We start from the raw sequence: 25,473 nt of genomic DNA on the forward strand, positions 1-25,473 counted from the left end.
AACTATACTTGGTTGACTGTATATTGGTTTTCAAAAATAGTGTATGGAATAAACAAAAATTAAACAGTTTTCTCCTATACTCATTAACCCTCCAAACACTTAGAGATGGCTACTCTTCCTGTCCCCAGAACAGAGCATGCAACCCTTTCAAATATTAATTATTTGTTGTGCTGACCCATTTCAATTAAACTATATATATATATTTAAAACAATTATAGAATTGTATGTTACATGTTTGATATAATCTATTCAGGACAGAGGAACACTATAATTTTCAGAAATTATTAAGATACTATAATTTTCTAAATAAATCCTCAAACTTCCAAAGTTTCAGAAAAATAAAAAATGTTCAGCATACTCTAATTTGCAACAAAATGAAAATAATGCTTGTGATCAGTGATTTAAAAAACTATAATGAATATTTTATTTGGTTTTTATGTCAATTAATATTTTTACAAATGTTAAACTTCTCAAAAATAATGACATTAAAAATAATATATTGTGAGTAATTTTGCTATATCTGTGAAATATGTCAAAGAGCTTTGTACATTCACCTTTGACTTGAAGATCATATTTCTGAAATTGTGCTGATTAGGCACAGGAATTTATATTCCAGGGAACACAATCCATCAATAGTCTAAGTCACATAAAATAGAGAAAACCATTCTCCTTAATGACATAATCATCAAACATAATTTATTAAAGGCTTTTCTGTGTTAAATGCTGATGAAGTCAGTATACAGGTGTGATCTTTCCAATGCAGGAGATCATAAATTGAGATTCAAATCATTGATCCCAAAATAAGATAATGTAGTGTATTGTGACATGATCTAATAAACACTGTTGAGACTTCAAAGTTATTCCATTATTAGATACAGTTGAAATTAAAATAACAATTAGAAATAATTATTGCCAAATACATCTCGAAAATTAGGTGAAATGTGCGAATTTATAGGGAAAAAACAAAACAGACTCATTAAGAATGATATTTAAAAATTAGGTGTGCTAAAATAGAATAAACTATTTTATTTTATTTTATTTTATTTTATTTTATTTTGAGTAAAATGAAAGTATTCATGCTGGTTTTCAGGTTGTATTTTTCCATTCCTAGAGTTTATTTCTAAACCTCTCTACAAAATTCTTTCTCTCTCTGTATCTCTCTTTGTATTTGCAACTCTCATATAAAATTTATTTTTTCTAAATTACCACATAATAAACTGAAACCATGAAGCCTATATATGCTAAATGCTTCATTGGGTATTTACTAAGAATAAGTCATTCCCTTCTGCAAAGAAATTACAATTATCAAAATCTACAGATGAATATTGGTAATGTATTATTACCGAATCTATGGAGTTTACTCTGATTTGTCCAGTTTTCCCAGGAATGTTCCTTAGAGTAAAAGAAAATACAAGTTCATACATTGCATACACTTGTAATCTCTCTTTATTCCCTTCAATCAAAAATGGTTCCAGTCTTTGTGTTTCATGACATTGAAATTATTGAACAGCACTGGTTATTTTATAAAATGACCTTCCACGTGAATTTTTCTGATCTTTTCTCATGATTAAATTCACTTTATCCACTTTTTGCAAGCATGCCAGAGAAGATGCTAAGTATTTCTCAGTGCATCAGATCAGAAGGCACATGTTTTCTATTGTCCACTTACCTGTAGTGTTAATTTTGATCACTTATTTAAGGTTATTAGCTGTATGCCAGCCTTCTCCACTGTGAAATTACTGTGTATATTTGGATTTTATTTGTAAGGAATATTTTCCCTTCTTTGTTTATTCATTGATTTGTGTCATTATTGACTCTAATATCTATTTCATTTTTTGTGGTATAATCCAATACAATTTTTATTTTGTTACTCAAATTCTTTAGTTTTAGCCATGAGAATCCCTTTTCTATTGGATCCTGTGTCTTCTGAAATTCGGCATTCATTTGTTTTTGAGCACTTCTGTATTTCCTAGCACTATAAAATTCTGCAGCCTCATCTCATTTTTCCTTGTCCCAGCTCTAGAATCAGTCCTTTGGCCAGGCATTCCAGTTTGTTTCCTCTATGAATGGTGTTTAGAAACCAATATCTAGCAAAAAATAAGGCCAGTACTCAAATGCCCAAAATACAGCAATATACACCTGCATCATTTTTCTGTATCACACTGCCCATTTTATAACTCACTTCTAACACCCAACACCCTTCCCACCATACAAGCACCAACCAGATCTCTTCTTATAGCTGACTGATTTCTGGTCCATTCTTAAAGACATGATCATTAGCTTCAATAATAGCAAATACTGTACTACCAACAAAATAACATGTTGTTTTATTGCTTTTAAATATTAAAATAGAAGATAGTGTATCTTCCTGTAAAAAATAAATATTATAATATAAATATTATAGAAAAAAAAGAAATCAACATCTAGACTCTGCATATGCTTGAGGCCACTTAGATGGCTCACCTTTTAGGCACTCTAGCAGACAGAGAGAGAAAATATATGCACTGGCCCATTCAGACACACACTTCTATATTTTGTAAAGTAGTTTGACCACAGCTAACCTATATCCTTGTGAGAAACAAATTTGCCAAGCAGAGCATAATGTTAAAATGCAGTTCAGTTCTCTTTGTTTTTAGCATTACTATATCTAGTCACAACACTATTTTTCAGATTTACGTATTTCAGTTCTTGTTCCCTCCACCCCTTCAATGAGGTTATGTCATACCCTTGTAATACAGTTAGACTCATTAGACACAGCTGTATTGCATCCAGGGATTCCCTGACGTCCTGCTTTGGTTGTTGGTACTGTTTGCATACAGTAAAATCAGGCCTTGGAAGTTTTGAGTGTTATTGGGTTGAAAAATGCATAATTGTGCATCCATAATCTTCATCTCTTTTCATATGTTACCAAATATCTTACCATTCTATAAGATATGCTGTCATTTCTGATATGATTTGGCTATGTCCCCACCCAAATCTCATCTTGAATTGTATTTCCCATAATCCCCACATGTTGTAGGAGGGACCCAGTGGGAAGTGGTTGAATCATGGGGATGGTTTCCCCTATGCTATTCTCAGGATAGTGAGTAAATTCTCACAAGATCCGATGGTTTGGCTGAGGGTGGTTGCTCATGCTTGTAATCCCAGCATTTTGGGAGGCCAAGGCAGGTGGATCATTTGAGGCCAGGAGTTCAGGACCAGCCTGGCCAACATGGTGAAACCCCATCTCTACTAAAAATACAAAAATTAGCTGGGCATGGTGGTGCATGCCTGTAATTTCAGCTACCTGGGAGGGTGCGGCAGGAGAGTCACTTGAACCTGGGAGGTAGAGGTTGCAGTGAGCCAAGATCATGCTGCTACACTCCAGCCTGGGTGACAGAGTGACATTCTGTCAAAAAAAAAAAGAAAAAATCTAATGGTTTTCTAAGGGGCTTCCCTTTTGCTTGGCTCTATGCTTCTCCTTCCTGCCAGCCTGTAAAGAAGGATGTGTTTTCTTCCCCTTCCGCCATGATTGTAAGTTTCCTGAGGCTTCCCTTGCCATACTGAACTATGAGTCAATTAAATCTCTTTCCTTTGTAAATTACCCATTCTCAGATACTTCCTTATAGCAGCGTGAGAACAGACTAATACAATATCTTATCAATGGTTCTTTTGTGTGGCAGCTTTATACTAAATCTCTCCCATATCTCTCAAACTCTAGCAAATACTCATGTCTTTTCCATCACTACATTTTGTCTTTTTCAGAATGTCATATAAAGGGGGTTGTGTAATATAGCTCTTTTCAGTCTCATTTCTTTAACTTATCAAATATGCATTTAAGATTCATATGTGTTGCTGTGTGAGGCAAGAGCTTTCTCTTTTTAAAAATTTATGAGTAGTGTTCCATTGCATGGATATTCCACAGTTTATTTGTGTCCACTCACTCACTGAAGGACTTCTGGGTTGTTTTTTATCTTGATGATGAATAAAGCTGCTATAAACATTCAAATATTGATCCTTGTATAAACATAAATTTTTAGTTCTCATGGATAAAACTCAAGCATTCATTTGCTAGGTTGATTGAAAATTTTGTGGTTAGCGTTATAAAAACTGCCAAAGTGTCCGCTGGAGTGGCTATATCATTTGGCATTTTCACCATCAGAGAAAGAATTTCCACTATGCCTTGTCCTCAGGAGCATTTGGTATTTTAACGCACCTCCAACCAGAGTCTCATAAGTGTGTAGTGGGGTCTTATTTGAGTCTTTATATGAATTTTCTTAATGCCTAATAAAGTTGGGAATCATTTTATAAACGTATTGGAATCTGCATATCTTCTCTTATGAAGTATCTATCTTTTGCCTATTTTTATTGGGTTGCTTGTTTTTGTTTTATTGTTCAGATTTAAGAATTCTTTATGCAATCCAGATATAAGGCTTTTATCAGGTATAATTTGAAGATATTTCTCCATATCTGTTGATTGTGCACTTATTCTCTTAACAGTCTTTTGCAAGGCAGAAGATGTCATTGTTTATAAATCCTATTTATCAATTTTTGTTTCTTTCATGGATGGTATATTGATGTCATAATTAAAACCTTGTTGCTACATCCAAAGTCATGTAGATTTTCTCTTTCAGAAGTTTTATATTTTATATTTCACAATTTCATCTATGATCCATTTTCAGATTTTCATTTTTTGTGTAAAATATATACCATGGATTTTTTTTTCTAGTACTGTTGTTCAAAAGCTTGTCCATTCTGTTTAGTTATCTTTGCGTCTTTGTAAAAAATCAGTAGACTGTATTTCCTCAGATCTATTTCTAGCCTTATATTATCTATATATCTATCTTTCCACCAGTACTATGCCTTCTTGATTACTGTAGCTTTATGTTAAGTCTTGAAATGAAGATAGGAGAATCCTCCATCTTCATTTTTCCATTTTCAAATTATTTAGCTTTTCTAGTTCACTTACTTTTTCATACAAATTTTAAAATATAGTTGTCAATATCTACAAAAAGCATGATGGAGTTTTCATTTGGGTTGCACAGAATCTTGATGAAATTGGAGAGCATAATTAACAAGGATTAGCCTTTGAATACATGACTATGTATCTTCTTTTAGTAATTTTTAATGATTTCTTTCCATTTTCTATGACTTCTAATTTTCTATGTTTATAGTCTAATCATAAATGTCCTATATGTATTTTAGGTTTATGCGGCAAGGCCAGGAGAAAAATGACAATGGTCATGGAATTACTGATTATAAATAGAAAGTATTATTATACTAAAATAGCTTCCTTTCATGAGTAATGTTTCCCCATACTCATATTATTCAAAACTGGTTATTCCATAATCAAAACATATCCTAATATAAAAGGGAAATTTTGAGGAGCTAGGTCAAACAATTTGGACAACTCGAATGTTTAATATATGCCTCATGTTTGACAATATTTTTGGAACCAATAATGACATTAGGATTCAGGTCAGATCTGTAATTCACATAATTCCATGTTGACAAGTAAACCCTTTGTGTAAGCCCGATTTCCCATTCAACTTAATGAGACCAAAATACCAAAACATGACAAATAAATAACAAGTAAAAATCTAAGCTAGACTCTTTCAAAAACATTAATGCAAAGTCCTTCACAAAATATTAGCAAAAATTCAGAAATACATGAAAAAGAATAATACATTATAACTAATTTGAATTTATTTCACTAGGACAAACTGGGTTTGGAATATAAGAATCCTTCAAAGTAAATCACTAGAGTGGAAAAATGGAGTATAAAAATTTATGATTATGTCAATAAGATTTTTAGAAAGTATTTGGTGAAATTTGTTATCCATTTAGGTTCAGAACTCTTTATAAAAATTAAGAATATAGGGAGAGAGGCAATCATTAATAGCCTTTCCACGACCTTTTCCTCTAGATTCAGAGAATTCCTCCATCAAAAGTAACTTAAGGAATGATTTGGATGGAAATTAAATGAAGGTCCTGATGAGTTTGCCATGCATTGACTGAAATTGTTTTTTGAGTAACCCATAATTGATGAGATGCAACGGCACAGAAAACAGAAACAAGTAACATATCTGTGTGGGTTCTATCTGTTTAGTAACGGAAAAAAGCTAAAGAGCCTGCAGATCCAATGCCTTTCCTGAGCTGTGGTGATCTACACCCCCTTAGTGTCATCTATGTGGGCAAAACAGTCCCTAGATATGAAAGAATTTGGGACATCAGAAACTTCACACGGGAATCAAGTGCTCTACTATATTATTACTATGCATTGTGTATTGCGTCTTCTTACTGTTTGTTAAAGCTATTTAAGCTTGATAATGAGTGAAGTCTATTGTGTCCCATGAGTCTGAGAATAAATCCAAATCCATCTTCACTGATAGTTCAAGCTGTTGAGAATTAATAAAGGAAATATCTTTAGTTCAGTAGAGGTTATTGCAAAAAAAAAAAAAACAAAGTAAATAGTGTATCTGCTCTTTAAAAAATAAAAAAGTTTTTCCCTCTGAGTTGAAGACTAAGATAATGAAGGACATTACTACCATATGTATTGAATATTGACATTAGGTATCTGCCAATGCAATGAAAAACAAAAGAAAAAACTTAAGAATGAAAAGGAATCATTAATATTGTCATTTTCATGGATAATGTAGTTACATACATAGAAAAGTCAAAATAATGTAATAGAAACTATTAAGTGTAAAAAATGGATTTAGCAAGTTTGCTGAAACCAAGCTATATAACCAAAAATAAATAATATTCACCATTGGGAAACAATTACAAAATATATTTTTTAAAAAAGTTATTTACAAACACAAGAGTTGTACAAGAATAAACATAACAAAAACATAAACAATTTTGAGAAAAAATAAAGAAAACCTAGATAAAGCAATGAATCATGTATCTGAATTAGATGTTTCAATATTACAGAGGCATTGGTTTTCTCAAAATGATCTATGAATTCAGTATGATCCTCATCAAAACCCTAGCAAAATTTGTCAAATATATAAAGTATACATTTTGTTATCAAAATTCAAAGGACCATGTACTGCCAAAACAACCTTGAAGAAAATTTTAAAAGTTGAAGATGCTTTCTACCAGATGTTATCAATTACAATGATATCAATTAGTATGGTGTGGTATTGTCACAAATAGATAAATCAAACTATAGGAATTAGAAGACAAAGCAGCATGTATACAAACTCTAGATTTGACTTCTGAAAATATGAGAGTAAAAAGCAGAAGGAAAATGGCAGTCCTTTCAGTAAATATTGCTAGGTCAATTGGATGACAATTGGGAAAAATAAATAAGTCTTAACTTGGGAATAACACCAGCTTCCAGTTTTAGGACTGGCAAATATTTTCTTACATGGTAAGAGAATAAATATTTTATGTTTTGGGTCAAGATACAAAACCATGGACCTTATATAGGTACTTATACAGCCATTCAAATGTAGACATTTAAAAATGTAAAAAACGTTGTTAGCTCACTGGACATTAAGAAAAGCCAACAACAAGAGCAACAACAACAAGAAACAAGCAGCTGGACTAAGAAAGACAGACAACTCAATATAAAAATGGGCAAAGATTTGAACAGGCACTTCAGAAAAGATAATACTAATTTGCTCAATTTCTTGAATAATCAGAGAAATGCAAATTAAGCCAAAACAAATTATGTTTCACACTCCTGAAACAGGCACAATTTAAAATTACTGACAATGTCACATTTTGGCAAGGATGAGGACACAGTTAACATTTTTTTGCTCTGGTAGTAGAAATGCAAATTAATACACTTTTGGAACCTGTTTTACATCTCTATTTAATTCAAATATGCTCATAACAAAATATGTAACAACTTTACTTTTAAGCATGAATCCAACAGGTTAACACATACATATTTGATTCAACATGCATGTATAAGGATGTTTACAGCATTATTTAAATTGGTATAATCTACAAACAGTTAAAGTGTCTACCTAAAATAGAAAGGATGAACAATATAAGTGGATGGTGGACTACAGTAGGTCATCCAATAACGTCATTTCATCCATTATCTTTTTATTATAACATTGATGAGGGGAAAAAATAATTTCTGGCTGTGATCATTGTCTGTGTGGAGTTTGAAGTTTCTCCCCATGTCATTCTGGGTTTTCCTGGGTACCCTGCTTTCCTCCTACATCCCAAAAAGGTGCACGTGAGGTTAACAAGTGTGTCTACATGGTAACAGCCTGAGTGAGAGTGGGTATGAGTTCACCTTGCGATGGAATGACATCCTGTCCAGGGCTAGTTCCCATTTGGTGCCCTGAGCTGCCAAATGGGCTCTGACATTTATTTCATATAGCTGACATTTATTTCAATGTGAATTTCTCTGATGTTTCCTCATGATTAAATTCACATTATGCACTATTTGCAAGCATGTTAAAGAGGATTCCAAGTATGTTTGGTCTTTATTTAGAAGTTTGACAATGTATTTGTGACCAGAAATATGATGTAGGAACTTAACTCAATTTATATCAATTAGTCTATGATAAAATTGGTTTCATTACACAACATTTTGCTTAAAGTTACAGTTTCCAAGATCCTATCAACTATGTTAATTAAAGACTTGCTATATTATAGAGCAGTGAAAATGAGGAAACTACTGCTGCATTCAAATATGAATTTCACAAACATTATGATGAGTAAAAGAAATCAGCATAAAATAATATGTACTTCTTAATTCAATTTTTATAAATTAATAAATAAGAAAAATAAACAGGCAAAATCAATCTGTGGTGTTTGATATTAGAATAGTTGTTACTTTTGTGAAGGAAGAAAGAAAAAATTTAGAGAAGGCAGCTCTAGGGTATGGCAATATGCAAATTTTTGATGTGTGTGGCAGTGTGAGTGGACTACTCTGTCATAGTTAATTATGGTGTATATTTATATTTTGTGAATTTTTAGTTAAATGAATATACTTCAACAAAAACATTTTTCAAAATCAAATAAAATTTTCCCCAAGATAATATTTATCAGGAAAAATACTTGCTAATGTCTCCCGGATTTTCAAAAGTTAATTCAGTAGTTCTTTTCTTTATGCAACCTTCCTTGATTACTCTCTCCTTAGAAAATAAAATCTTTGATGAAGCAGTAGGTGCAAAATTTCTTATAGATATTAAACAATATTGAACACATAGAAGCACTACTTACAGGAAATAGTCCTGGATTTAATGTCGAAATGTCTGAGTTGTAGCAAGCTCTTGAAGAAGACACTAAATCACTTGATGTAATCAGGCCCCTGATCACAACTGCCTCCTAGCCTCCAAATCTGGAATTGCCTGCTAACTAATGGAAGAACCTCATAGCCGTTATTTCATTGAATGTACTTTTCCTTTATGTTATAGGCTTCCATACATTACTTTCCTATTACCAGTAGTAATTCCCTTCTGGTTTCTGTAAATAACTCATTTCCTTGTTTCTTTCTTGGTGATATTTTCATGATCTTATCTGGGTATTTTCAGTATCTGATATGCTATGTTAAAGAGCACCAAACTCATTTGACTTTTATTATGTGGATATTGACTTGCACTTTTCAGGCTCAGAGATTTTGAGAAGTGTGGTGATAGAGATGCTTGATTCTCATCACTTACTCTACCTAACCTGGATGCGCTATCTCTGGGTGGGCAATTGATTTTGAAAACATGAGCTGGCCATCTATCACTGCAAATGTCTAGGTCCTATTATATTAAACTCCTTCACAGTATTCACCTCCTAGAAGAGAACTCTGTATCATGTATGTCTTCTTCAAGCATTGCTTAAATAAAATAAATTATATTTTATCACCAAGATACTGATTGATTTGAATCCAATATTTTAGACCTTGCTATAATATTATTTTTCAAAAATCATATGGGTAAATAAGTAAGCATAAGAAATGAAAAACTCAGCAAACTGATGCAAGAGAGATAAACTTGCTGTAGAATTTTCCAAGGGGGTTAAATTAAGAAAATTGGGTAATAATGCTTTCAAAAATTATCAGTAAACAGTGATTTATTATAAATCAGGTATCACTGTCAAGTCTACTACCCCAAGCTACTTCCTATGAAATTGATTAGAAATCATTGCAATTTGACCATTAGTTAATTTTTAAAAGCTTATCATATCATATTGAGGTAAGTGGAAAGATACAAGGGCCATAAAAAAATGTACCCTTGCAAGGCTCAAATGTTGGAATAGGTATGAGCTGTTAGTTTTTAATAGTTTAATAATGAAAAAAACAGAATAATAGCTATAAACAAAATTTAAGACATATTTTCATATTGGCAAAATATAACCGACGTGTATGATGTCTGAATGAAGGCTAATTTCATGTTTATATAATTATATCCAAACAATAAATTGCATGATTGCTGAAAGAGAACAATATTAAAGCAAGTGTGCAATGTTCTGCCCTCCCATTCATATTCAAATAGCAATTGCAATGTGAAAAAGAAAAGTTTAACTTCTGTTCAGTTCTAACTCATAGACTTTTAGGGATTTGAGATAGATGTCTCTTAATTTTGGGTCACCTAAATACTAACTCTAAAAAAGGGATTTAATTGCATGGAAATATATTTGGTAGATTATCCCAGAAAACACTTTCAGTCAGGAAAGAGAAAGAAGCCAGTAAAGGGTGTTTTACTAAGACAGTCACAACCCTGGGCAACTGGAGCTCAATGAAGCTGGTCAGCTCTGGGAGACAGTGTGGAACATGCTTTGCAGCATCCCCAACCAAGGGATGAAAAGACTGGCACATTGATGCAGCAAATCCCTGTTTATCCAGGCTTTAAGACCACTTCTGGGAGCACTAAATTGTTGGCACTTTCAGGTTGCCCTGTGCAGATACAAAGTATCTCCATGTAGCTGGATAAAATTCTTGCAGCAGTGAATCACAAATGATTGTAAGAAGCAGCCTTTCACATGTAGGGACAGTGAAAGCCATAGCAGGACACTGATGGTGTCAGCTACGATTCTCCCCATACACCACCCAGTTCATTCAAGCCCCACATTAGGGATATTCTGTCCTGTCATTGATTTTCCAAGGTGTGACGGGAAACAATTAAAAATAATTAATAGCAATAGTAAGATGAGTGGAAGAAGCTACTGTCCTACTATTAAAGGTGATCGTAAGTAATGTTTATTATTACCCTTCCTCTACAATGTATTCTATATCCCCCTTATCATTGGCATATACGCTGGTGTAAGTTACTTGTTTAATGGGGTAACCTAGATCTTCTTCCCTGGTGGTTTATGCCCTTTGTTATCCTGCATTGTAGTAACTTGGTAGCTGCTATTTTCTGTTCAAGTTGCAGAAACACTCTTTTTGTACCTTATACTGATGGTATACTCTACCTTGATAGGGTTGTAATAACAACAATTTATTATAACTACCCTATCAAGGTAGAGTATACCATCAGTATAGAAACTGCTTTTTTGCCTATTGTCCTACAGCCATGAGGAGCACAAAATAACTGCATGAGAAGGACACTTTAGACATAACAGTCTCCTTAGCCTGTCCATTGGCAGAGGACCCGTTTGGGAAACAGCAGAACCTAAAATTATAGATTTGTAAAGAACAAATTCCCCAAATGATTCACTGGGAGTGTGAATGAGAAGAGCCCATTCTTACTTCCACCTCTTGGATTCAAGACCCATGAATTTTAGCTAATGGTCATTGATACGATGTATAAACCACTTTTTGAAAAGCAGTATCCTAAATCTACAGGGTGTCATTCCACAACTGGTATCTTAAATGAACTTTCTAGTATTATATTAAGTTGGCTGCCTGTTAGGTGAAACCAGAAAATTCTGTGTATATTCATTGAATATACATTGAATGATAAGAAGTAGGATACTTGGGTAATTGCACTGACTGAGCCACTATAAGTAAAAAAGCAAATATTGTACATACTAAGGATAGAAAAAATAATCCAAGAAAAGATGAATTGTTTCCATATTTAAAATAAATATTTTCGGCTGGGCACAGTGGCTCATGCCTGTAATCCCAGCACTTTGGGAGGCCGATGTGGGCAGATCATGAGGTCAGGAATTTGAGACCAGCCTAGCCAACATGGTGAAACCCCGTCTCTACTAAAAATACAAAAATTAATTGGACATGGTGGTGTGTGCCTGTAGTCCCAGCTACTCAGGAGGCTGAGGCAGGAGAATCACTTGAACCCAGGAGGCGGAGGTTGCGGTGAGCCGAGATGGCACCGCTGCACTCCAGCCTGGGCAACAGAGCGAGACTTCACCTCAAAAAAAAAAAAGAAATGAAAAATTTCCAATGCAATCAACTTTTAATTGATTGGTTCATTAGACTCTTTCTGCTATTTTAAGGGCTCAGCATTGGTCTCTGCTGCTGACAGCTTGACCCCACATGGATGTAGCTATTTCAGTTATGGGGCCATTACACAAGGCCTAGGGTAGCCATAAGCAGAGGTGTGGTAACATGCACTAGATGAATTATTCTATCAACCTAGTTGTTCTGGGAATTCTCTCTTGTGGATGGTCTCTGGTAAGCATGGACATGAGACTCAATCCATCATATATATTTCCCTACTTCTGTAGGTAAATCCACCTGACTCTTGCCCCTGATTTCATAGTCACCAATAATTCAGTCTTCTTTTTTCCAGGCCCGTGATTAAGCAGAAAGCTATTGACCACTATCCAGAGTTCATAAATATCTTTAACTCACTCACTTTTCCCTCCACAACAAGTTGACAACCAGATATTTCCATAAAGTAGCTCACGACATGGCAGGTAACAAGAGCTCTGAGAGAGAGAGAGCCACAGAGGGAGGGCAGGTTGGAAGTAAACTAATCTTGAATGAAAGACCTCCTATCAAACTTTCCATATTCTGTTCCTTGGATCCAGACCAAGCTCAAGGGATTATATGAGGTGCTGACTATCAGGAGCTGGATATCCCTGGGTACCATTCTAGAAGCCACCTACCACAACAAACTTTATCTTTTAGCTCTTTCTTTTCAATCTGATAACCTTCAATATCTAACCATGATTACTGACTATTATTATAACAAAAATCACTACAGTCATAGTTATTCTTATAAAATTTTCACAAATGAAGAATAAAGCTAGCACCTTTGACATCAGAAAAAAGACAAAAATGCCCCTTACCAATTCTATTCATCATTGTACTGGAAGTTCTAAACACGAAGTAAAAAGAGAAAAAAATAAGAAACAAAACTGTACATACGAACGTGTCTGTAGAAAATACAAAAGAATACACATATAAAGCATTAGATTTAACAAGAGAGTTTGAAAAAGTTGCTGGAAATTTTATTAATTTACAAAATCAATTGCATACATGAGACAATTACAATTTAAAAATTAAGTTTTGAAAGATTACCATTTAAAATAGCATCAACTCACAGAACAAAAATCAGAAATAAAACAAGGGGTATTGCTATTAACATTACAGAATTTTTAAAAACTGCTATGAACAACTGTATGCCAAAGAATTAAACAGCCTAACTAAAAAGTACAAATTCCAAGGAACACACAAAATATTGAACCTGACTCAAGAAGAAATAGAAAATCTACATAGACCTATAAGTAAAGAGACTGAATCGGATATTTTTTAATTCTCGCAAAAAAACAAAAGATAAAGAAAATACAAGACCAGATCACTTCACTGGTGGATTATACCAAAAGTTTAAAGAGAAATTAACACCAATCATTCTCCAACTCTTCAAAAACTAGAAGAGGAGATAATACTGTCCAACTTTTTCTATAATGCCAGTATTACTCTGCAACCAAAACCAGACATTAAAAAAGAGAAGAAAACTATAGAGTAATTTTCTATATAAAGAAATTATTTTAATCTTAACTTTTGTCTTCCTAGATCAGTTTTTCCCAATTGTATTTTAATGTGCAGTTATATTTTTTCACTTACTTTATGAAAATTTCTTCTAAATTTTATGTGCTTTATATATACATTATCCTTTTGATACATCATATTCTTGCAATAGTTTGTATACCTTTATAATTTACAACTTGGTTTCATTTGGTTTACAGTTTATGCTTTGTATTTCTAAAATGACTTACATTTGGTTTTTAAAATTTCTCTTAGAATTATTTTCTAATCATTGTTTGTAAGTCATTTTAAAGCACAAAGAAAAAGCATAATTGTATACAGAGTTAGGGACTAAGTGATACATACAAGAAAATCAAATAAAACAAAATTGCAAAGTGTAATGGTGTATAACCAATGATGATCAAAAAATAAGTATAAGAGAAATTCATGCCATATAAAAAGTCTGTGATATCTCTTACATAAAGGTAATATGATATTTTAATTAATAAGTACAATGGCAGGAAAAGTAAATTGTGCTATAACAATTGCCAGATGTGGATTTAATTTTTACACAAAATGCCCGAATATTTCTAATTACCATAAATATATGATTATATGTATGTATTAATATAAGAATATGAGAGTTACACAGAAATAATATAACTAATATTTTTTGAAATTTTCTTATTTCAGTATATCAATTTTGGACAGTAGATAATATGGATATATTGAAGCAAGACTTTAGGAACAATTACTTTGAGTAATTATGACCAGCATACAAATATTGTTCTGTACCTACACCAAATCTGGGAATTTTCTTCAATGCAGTTAAATACTCAGGTCACTGTTAAAAAGTACTGGTGCCTCTTAATGACCTAAGAGAAATAAGGTCATGCTATTCAAAGTGTGGTCCTTAAAATGATGTGGGTCCACAGGTTTTTTTTTTTTCTTTCTTTCTTTCCTTTTCTACAAAAGGAAGAGTTAAAAAATTGAGAGTAAACATTTAGAAACTCTTATAATAGTGTAGCAGAATAATTTATGTCTGTTGGGTCTCATAAAAATTAGGAAAATAAATTATATCAGAAGGATACCTACACATGTATGTTTATCACAGCCCTATTTACAATAGCAGATATGTGGTATCAACCAAAGCGTCCATCAGTGGATGGTTGGATAAATAATATAATACAGTGAAATACTAATCAGCCATAAAAAAGTCATTAGTATTTCAATAAAGTCTGCAAAGCTCTCATTTTAAAATATCAGTTTCTGTAACTAGGCAGTAAGATTGTCTAAAATAAAATTTCCCAGTATTCTTCTGAGAATGTTGAATATAAAATACAATCCTGTTTTTTATTTCTTTAATTTTACATTTTTTTTGAGATGGAGTCACTCTGTTACCCAGGCTGGAATGCAGTGGCACGATCTCGGCGCACTGCAACCTCTGCCTCCCTGGTTCCAGTGATTCTCCTGCCTCAGCCTCCCGAGTAGCTAGGATTACAAGCACGTGCCACCACTCCTGGCTAATTTTTGTATTTTTAAAAGAGACGGGGTTTCACCATGTTGGCCAGGCTGGTCTTGAACTATTGACCTCAAGTGTTCTGCCCACCTAGGCCTCCCAAAGTGCTGGGATTACAGGTATGAGCCACTGTGCCTGGCACTCCTGTTGTTTTAATACCATAATAGATGACTTACAGACTTATAATGAGGTTTTGGGAAAGTCAATGATGAGCTGAGCAGAAGCCGGCATACAGGAAAGGGAAATGAGATCTGGAAGAGTTTGGGCAGAAATCTGTGCCACAGATGATCGGCTGCTCTCTGCCACAGGTGAGGTGAGGCCAAGGGGTCATCTCGGATTATTGTTTTGGTTTAACAAATAGTTGGTCAACATTTTTAATTAAACCGACTTTTAAAACAAAATCATGTGTGAAGCATCCAATTATATATTTTAAATACATAAAATATCTAGTTTAGTAGCCTTGGAAGGTTATTATGAAATAAGAACTATATATTTTGTTTGTATAAAGAAAAATAAAACTTGAAAATGGAAAGGATCTCAAGAGGTTCTAAGGGGCCAACTTACGTTGAAATTCAATATTTTGCTTGGGAAATTTTGTGATTTTCACATATATCCTAGTTTCTTGTGCAATTAGCTAGAAGAATGACACAAAATTGAGGTCCCAAAGTTGTAGTACAGATGTAAGGAAAAAGAGTATGTATAATCAATAAGGAAACAGCTATATCTGTTAGAGAAATATAGAACAGACTATTGATTTTGCTCATCAGAAATGTTGACAGAGCAAAAACTTATTATAGAATAATTCTTCTTTATTTCCTTCATTTCTCCTTCCTTCCTTCCTCTCCCTCTCACTCCCTCCTTCCTCCCTTCCTTCCTTTCTTAATTTTTCCATTGAAATCTCCCAAAAGGCCTATATTTGATTATTTATAAGAAAAATGGAAGACAAATGAATAAGTAGCCTGTTTATTTTTCCCGAGTTTCATTAGAAATATATAAACAGAATAATATATAAACATAGAATCTGGTTAAAGGATTATAAAAATAGAACATCACAAGGATTTATTCTCTCTAATTTCTTGCCTAAAAATGTTTTTGTTTTAGACAGGTTAGTGTTTAATAATTTTTGAAACCTCCATAGTTTTTTTTAATATATGCAATAAATTGGCACCAGAGCTACAATTTTCTTATACATATTGAGGGAGAATTTTAATAGGGCCAGAGAAACTGCCCATTTTTCTGCTTGACCAGTGTGTGTTTTCAAGTGAGTTGAAGGGAGTGGACATGACGTTTTTGTGTCATCAGTGAGTGTAAGTTCCTTTTGGTTTCTTATGATCAGAACATCTTGCTGAACCTAATGTTAAATCTACTATTCAATGGCTTAGAAAGACAGTGAAATGTGATGTCTTCCTATATCTAGAGAAAATGTTTCTGATTTACTGGTGTTAGTGTTTCACCATAAATATAAATTTTAGTTCGATCTCTTTTCAAATTTTAGTGTCATTTTTAGACACTATGAGATGGTGAATCTGGAAGAATTAAAGAACTAAACACTAGTAGCTCACTCAAGGAGAAAGAGACTTCCTAAAGGGTGGTAAATGTCTTACAGAATTTCTTGGAACGATGAAGAGACAGCATCTAGTTTGAGATATCAGAAGTGACTTCAGAGCTACATGGCAGAACTAGAATATTAAGGAAAACACTGTGCTGTCTATGATCAGAAAACTGTCATGATCAAGAAGCCATCGCAGAAAAACAAAGCACATCCATAAAAAATCCTACTTCCAGAAACAGCAAGAAAAGCTGAATGTGTAGTTTATGTTTCTATCAAATCTTCCAAAGGGTACTTAAATACAGAATACAGACTATCTTAATGTTAGAAAGTGTATTTGTATAAATTGGTATCTGTAGAGAGTCTGAGAAATGTATTCTGTAGTACAGACACATATACTGTTGAAGGCTGGAATAAATGCTGCATGCCAGTCCACCTTACTTACAGGTTGTCAGCTCATATTCAAATGCATAGCTCAGTTAGTTGGTCAGCTGATAGGGAGGGGAAAATACAGCACATCACTTAAGGTAGTATCTTAAATATCCACCATGCTTTGTAACACTCTTAAGAACATATATTGAAAACACATCCCCATGAGAAATTTAAAAATGCTTTGTTATGTAAATAAATATGTAGCTCTATTTTTTTGAACAATTAAATTTAAAGCTTTGCTCTGAGAATCAACATAATATTCTAACTACCTAAACCTACAAAACTTGCTGGGAAAAAAAGAAACATGTTAATTATAATAGCGAATCTTACACATAGGCAAAAGCTTTCAAACACTAGGGAAATCAACAAATTAATAAAAAGAAATGAGTGGGCAATGATTTTTTGGATATGACTTCAAAAGCACAGGCATCAAAACCAAAAATAGACAAATGGAATTACATGAAACTAAAAAATTTCTGCCTAGCAAAGGAAATGAACAGACTGAAGACGGGAGCTACAAAATGGGAGAGGGGAAACATTTACCATCTACATATCCAACAGGGGGTTAATAACCAAAATAGATAAGGAACTCAAACAACTCTATAGCAAGAAAATGAACAACCTAATTTTAAAATGATCAAGAGACCTGAATCAACATTTTTTGAAAGAAGACATACAAACGACCATCAGGTTAAGAAAAAAAATGCACAGTATCTCTAATCATCAGGAAAATGCAAATCAAACCACAATAAGATGTCACCTCATTCCTGTTAAAGTGGCTATTACTAACAAGACAAAAGGTAGCAAATGTTGAACTGGATATGGAGAAAAAGGAAACCTAGCACACTTTGGGTAAGAAGGTAAATTAGTACAGCCATTATGAAAAACAGTATGGAAATTAAAAAAAAATTAAAAATAGTGATCCAGCAACCCCACTACAGGATATATATCCAAAGGAAATCAGTATGTGGAAGAGATATCTGCATTTCCATGTTTATTGCAGCACTGTTCACAATAGCCAAGATATGTAATCAAACTAAGAGTCCATCAATGAATGAATAAAGAAAATGTTGCAAATACATACAAAGGAATATTAGTCAGGCATTCAAAAGGAAATCTTTTCATATGTGACAACATATGCCATTATGTTGGATGATGTTAAGTGAAATAAGCCAAGCACAGAAAGACAAATACCACATGATCTCACACATATGTGGAATATAAAAAGCTTGTCACATAGAAGTAGAGATTAAAATGGTGGTTACCACAGCCTGGGGTGGTAGAGGGTGGGGATGTTGGGAGATGTTGGTCAAAGGGTACATAATTACAATTAGATAGGAGGAATCGGTTCAAGTGATCTATTTTAGCAGCGTGGTGACTATAGTTAATGATGATATAATGTATACCTGAAAAATGTGAAGAGAGTAGGTATTAAGTATTCTCATCAATGATTGATAATTACATGAAGTAATACATTTGTTAATTAACTAGATTTAACCATTCTACACTGTATATGTACTTCAAAACATTATGTTTTTACACTGCTGAAAAAGACACACTTGAGACTGGGTAATTTATAAGGAAAAAAAGGTTTAATGGACTCACAGTTTCACGTGGCTGGGGAGGCCTCACAATCATGGTGGAAGGCAAAAGCCACATCTCATGTGGCAACAGTCAAGAGAAGAGAGCTTGTGCAGGGAAACTCCCCTTTATAAAACTATCAGACATTGTGAGGCTTATTGACTATCATAAGAAAAGCATGAGAAAGACCTGTCCCCATGATTCAATTACCTCCCACCAGGTCCCTCCCATAACATTGGGAATTGTGGGGGCTACAATTCAAGATGAGATTTGGGTGGGGACACAGCCAAACCATATCATTTGGCTAATTTGTGTTTTCCTAATAAAACAGATCAAACATACAGAACAGCAGAATATACTTCACTTTACCTCTACTCTCTGGTCTTCTCTATACTTGATATGGTTTGACTGTGTCCCCACTCAAATCTCATTTTGAATTGTAGCTCCCATAATTTGCACATATTGTAGGAGGGACCAAGTGGGAGATAATTGAATCACAGGGGTGGTTTCCCCCATACTGTTATCATGATAGTGAATAAGTATCACGAGATCTGATGATTTTATAAGGGATCTCCTCTTTCACTTGGCTCTCTCATTCTCTCTTGTTTGCCGCTATGTAAAATGTGACTTTCACCTTCTGCTATGATTGTGAGGCCTCCCCAGCCATGTGGAACTGTGAGTCCATTAAACTTCTTTTCCTTTATAAACTACTCAGTCTCGAATATATCTTTATCAGCAGTGTGAAAACAAACTAATACAGTACATTGGTACCAGCAGAGTGGAGTGCTGCTGTAAAGATACCCAAAAATGTGGAAGCAACTTTGCAACTGGTTAACAGGCAGAGGATGAAAGAGTTTGGAGGGTTCAGAAGAAGAGAGAAAAATGTGGGAAACTCGGGAACTTCCTAGAGATTTGTTGAATGGCTTTGACCAAAATGCTGATGATATGAACAATGAAATCCGGGCTGAGGTGGTCTCAGATGGAGATGGGAACTTGTTGGAAACTGGAGCAAAGGTGACTCTTGCTATATTTTAGCAAAGATACGGACAGCATTTTGCCCCACCTTAGAGATCTGTGGAACTTTGAACTTGAGGGAGATAATTTAGGGTATCTGGCAGAAGAAATTTCTAAGCAGCAAAGCATTCAAGAGGTGACTTCAGTGCTGTTAAAAACATTCAGTTTTAAGTGGGAAACACAGCATAAATGTTCAGAAAATTTGCAGCCTGAGGATGCAATAGAAAAGAAAAACTCATTTTCTGAGGAAAAATTCAAGCTTGCTGTAGAAATTTGCATAAGTAATGAGGATCTGAGCGTTAATCACCAAGACAATAGGGAAAATATCTCCAGGGCCTGTCAGAGACCTTCACAGCAGCCCATCCCACCATCACAGGCCCAGAGGCCTAGGAGAAAAAAAATGGTCTCACTGGCCATGACTACGGCCCCCCTGCTCTGTGCAGCCTAGGGACTTGGTGACCCGCATCCAAGTATCTCCAGCTATGGCTAAAAGGGGCCAATGCAGAGTTCAGACCATTACATCAAAGGATGCAAGCCCCAAGCCTTGGCAGCTTCCAAGTGGTATTGAGTCTGTGGGTGCATGGAAGTTAAGAATGGAGGTTTGGGAACCTCTGCCTAGATTTCAGAGGGTGTATGGAAATGCCTGGATGCCCAGGCAGAAGTCTGCTGCACTGGTGGAGTTCTCATGGAGAACCTCTGCTTGGGCAGTGTGGAAGGGAAATATGGGGTCAAAGCCCACACACACAGTCCTCACTGGGGCACTGCCTAGTGGAACTGTGAGAAGAGGGCCACTGTCCTCCAGACTCCGGAAAGGTAGATCCACTGACAGCTTGCACTGTGCACCTGGAAAAGCTGCAGACACTCAATGCCAGCCTGCAAAAGCAGCCAGGAGGGAGGCTGTATCCTGCAAAGCCACAGGGGTGGAGCTGCCTAAGACCATGGGAACCTACCTCTTGCATCAGTGTAACCTGGATGTGAGACATGAAGTCAAAGGAGATCATTTTGGAGTTTTAAGGTTTGACTGCCCTGCTGGATTTCAGACTTGCATGGGCCTATAGCCCCTTTGTTTTGGCCAATTTCTCCCACTTGCAATGGCTGTATTTACTCAATACCTGTACCCCCATTGCATCTAGAAAGTAACTAATTTCTTTTGATTTTACAGGCTTTTAGGCAGAAGGGACTGGCCGTGTCTCAGATGAGATTTTGGACTTGGACTTTTGAGTTAATGCTTAAAATGAGTTAAGACTTTGGGGGGACTGTTGGGAAGGCATGATTGCTTTTGAAATATGAGGACGTGACATTTGGGAGGGGTCAGGGGCGGAATGATATGGTTTGGCTGTGTCTCCACCCAAATCTCATCTTGAATTGTAGCTCCCATTAATTCCTACATGTTGTATGAGGAACCCAGTGGGAGATAATTGAATCTCAGTGGCGGTTTCCCCCATACTGTTCTTGTGGTATTGAGTAAGTCTCACAAGGTCTAGTGTTTTAGAAAGGGTTTCCCCTTTCACTTGGCTCTCTCATTTTCTCTTGTCTGTTACCATGTGAGATGTACCTTTCACCTTCAATCATGATTGTGAGGTCTCCCTAGCCATGTGAATCTGTGAGTCCATTAAACCTCCTTTCCTTTATAAATTACTCAGTTTCAGGTATTTCTTTATCAGCAGCATGAACACGAATACAATACTCCTCATGAGGAATATAAAACCTTAAACCAAGAAATTGGCAATTTTTTCCTCTTTGATGCTGAATTTCAAAGCAGATAAAATAATCATCGCTGAACACTTTCCTATTTACAGACTTAGTTAAGGAAAGTGACTTCCTAAAAAGACAAAAAACAAAACAAAAACTCAAAGCAGATAAAAGTAAAGGCTCTACAGCCAAAAGCCTAAGTTTGCTTTATACAGCACATTGACAACAGTTATTTCACTTTGGGTAAAATAATTCAACTTTACAAGCCTAACTACACTAATCTGTAAAAATTCAGGTAATAATAATATCTACCTCAAAGAATTGTATATATAGATTCTTTTTTAAAAAATATACATATACACTCATGCCATTTGCAAATAATTATAGCTTCATATCTTCTCTCCCAATTCCTACTTTTTTTCTGTATTCCTTTCTATTGCTTTATCACACTGAGACCTCCAACAGAGATCTTTCCTGATACTGATCTCAAAGGGAAAGTTCTCAATATTTTACCATTAGATATGCTGTCAGATGTATGTTTTTGACCATCACTTTTATTAGATTACGGATGTTCTTTTCTATTGTTACTTTGCTGAAAGTATTCTTTATCGATGGATGTTAACTTTTAAGAAATATATGTTTTGAATTTATTGAGATGACTATAATATGATTTCCTCTCTCATTTCTTTTAATGTGGTAAAACCCATTGTTTGAAAGTCAAATGTTTAAATATGCATGCACATAGATTGGATATGACATATCTTGTCTAGAATTTATTTACTAATATTTTGTTAATATTTTTGCACATATATTTATGACATCATTTGTCAAGTTTTGATACTAAAATTATTCTGACAAAAATTATTTAAAAGTGAGTTCTACCTTTTCTATTCTCTAAAGACATTTCTGTAAGGTTGATTCTATCTTACATGTTGGACAAAACTTGGGACTTGCCTTCATGTTTCCTTCATGAGATTTTTCTTTTTATTTTTGAATTCAATTTATTTACACTTCATTGATGCAGTACCATACAAACATGCTATTCTTGATTTAATAATTTTTTGAGGTGGTGTAGTATGTTGTATTTTTAGATAAATCTCTCCATTTTACCCACATTTAAGAACAAGGTTGGTACTTTTAATTTCTGTAAGACATGGTGGCAGTGTTCCTTTTTAATTCATAATAATGGAAATCTGTTTCTCTTTTTAGATCACACTCATTTATGAATTTAGTCTTTCCACATGAAGTACCTTCGTATCTATTGATTTGCTTTACTGTGTGTTTGTGTTCTTTTTCTACCCTAATTTTTAGTATCTCTTACCTTCTATTGCCTTTTAAATTAAATGTTCTTTTAAATTGATTCTTGAGTAGAATCTTGGTTTATTTTCAGCCATTCTGTTTTTCCGATAAATACATTTAAAGCCACACATTCTCTTCTCAATATAGATTTTGCCACAGTACCTGATTTTCAAGTATTTGGATAGTTTCTAAGTATCATTTTTGCTATCAGCTTTCAGGACAATTTCTTCTTGGAAACAGAACATATTAATGAATTTTATCCATGAGGACTAGTATAAAATCAATGCTCATGAATGTTCCATTCATACTAGATACATTTATTAATCATGTTTTTCAAACTTCCTCTATTTCTACTGATTTTTGTTTTTATAAATTTAGCTAGTAAATGGCTGTTGTATATAAACATCTATCACTGTAATTGAAAAACTGTTTATTTTTAAAGAGTGCATTTTTGCTAGTTTTATGTATCTATAGAATACGTTATTGTGTAAATAAAATTTACTATTTTTATTTCATTTTGATAATTAATTCTGTTATATTTATGAAAGTTTAACTTAACTCTTGCAATGCTTCTGTCCTTCACATGTACTTTTTCTGATATCAGTAAAGTTATACCAGACATTTTGGAGTTAATATATACATAATTTTTTTTGTCATTTTATTATTATTCTTTTCTCATCATTTCATTTGAGATATGTGTCATGAAGGCAGTCTGCAGTTTGGGGCTTTATCCTGTGTTATTTATTTTTATTTTAAATTATTCAATCAGTTTACATTAAGATAATCACTAACATATTTGACTTATATCTTCCAACCTCTTGTTTGCATTATAATTGCCCTATTATTTTTTCTTCTTTACTTGCTGAATTCTGAGTTAATGTAAATTTTTCTTCCATTTCTTTTTTATTTATGTTGTTAGTTCTGTATCTTTTTATAAATATTGAAGTGGTTATTATAAGCTTGATTTACTGAAGTCCACTTAAAATAGTATTTTAACACTGCTTAGAAAATTCAAGAACTTTCAGAACTTTTCAAGTGAAATTATATGAACTTCTTTGTGATTCTTACAGACAGGGATCTTAATGCTGTAAGTGTGTTAAAGTCTGCAAAATATTATTGTTGTTTCTTACACTGTCAATATGCATTTCATATGGTCAATATTTATTCACTTTGTGCTTTTCATTTATTCCTGCATTTCCATGTTTTCATATGCACAGTCCTGTGATTTTATATCTGTGTGAGTCTTAAGTGACTAATTATCTGTTCATTTTTAAATTTCTTCATTTTGTGATCATTTTTAGGTTGAAAGTTGTTTTGCAACAGTTTCACAATGTTATTTTAATCATTTTTAACACCATTAACAGTTGAAAACTCAGAAGCCAATCTTACTGTATCAACTTTGAAGTAAATGTGTTCCTTCTTCTGTTTTCTTTTAAGATTTATTTTTTCTTTGTTTTGGTTATTGGCAGTTTTACTATGAGGTGATTATATAAAATTTTCTCATTGTTTAACCTAGGAAAATCTTTGCCAAACATCTTTTATCTATAGCTTAATGTCTTTCATCAGTTTAGAAACTTCCTGACCAGTATCATTTCAAATTTTGTTTTAATCTCTTCTTTCTTTCCTCTCCTGAGACTCTACTTACATGTATGTACAATTTCTGCCTATATTCTACTCCTCTCTTTTCTTTTACAATTCTTTAATCTTTTCTTTCTCAATTATTCAGTCTGAATATTTTGTACTGACTTGTAGACTGAGTTCACTATTCTTCTGTTGTGTCTAATATTCTATTAAACCTATAGTTTGAACTTTGTGTCTAGGTTTTATTTTTCACAAGTCAAAGACTAACTGCCTCTTGGCCCTACTGACAGTTTCCTGGCAAAAGTTAGGTACCAATTGCCAATACCTAGGGGTGGGGAAATAGAGGGCTGGCAAATTCTGCTTTGTTCCTCTAGGGTGGGGTAGGAAGCCCAGCTCCCCACTGGGCCTCAGTGACACCAGAGGAAGGGAGGGTGCAGGGGAGTGCCAACTAGCCCTGCCTCTCAGCACCTCATTATTCTTCACTCATGCTGGTTGTAGGGTATAGATTCACTTCCCCACTTGGTCTCACTGATAACAGGGATAATAGAACAAGAGTGTCAATTGACTCTACTTTACCTTGCCTTGCTCAGTCTTATTCCTGCCAGGTGGGTGAGGAGGTTCAGCCCCATAATGCACCTTCCTGACACCAGGAGTAAGGGGAACGTGGAGTGTTTATTAGCTCTGACCTGCACCATCTTGTACAGTCTATACGATGTTAGGTGATTATACAGGCTCAGCTCCCACACAGCTCTGCTGATACCTGGCATGTGTGTGTTGGGTGTGAGTTAGAGGAGGCTAGTTCTTTTTTGCATTACCAAATTAAATCTCACTGTTACCGGGTAGGAGTGGGGAGTCAGGACACCACCTGGTTCTTATGGTGGGGAATGGAAGATCAGCTGACTATTGGGTGCTATAGATACAACATAGCAAGCAAATTAGAGCATTGCCTGCTTCCGTGAGGCAGGGAGTTTGGTTGGAAGACCAGCTCCC

This window comes from Homo sapiens, chromosome 1 (assembly GCF_000001405.40).
Source record: "Homo sapiens chromosome 1, GRCh38.p14 Primary Assembly".
Lineage (NCBI taxonomy): Eukaryota > Metazoa > Chordata > Mammalia > Primates > Hominidae > Homo > Homo sapiens.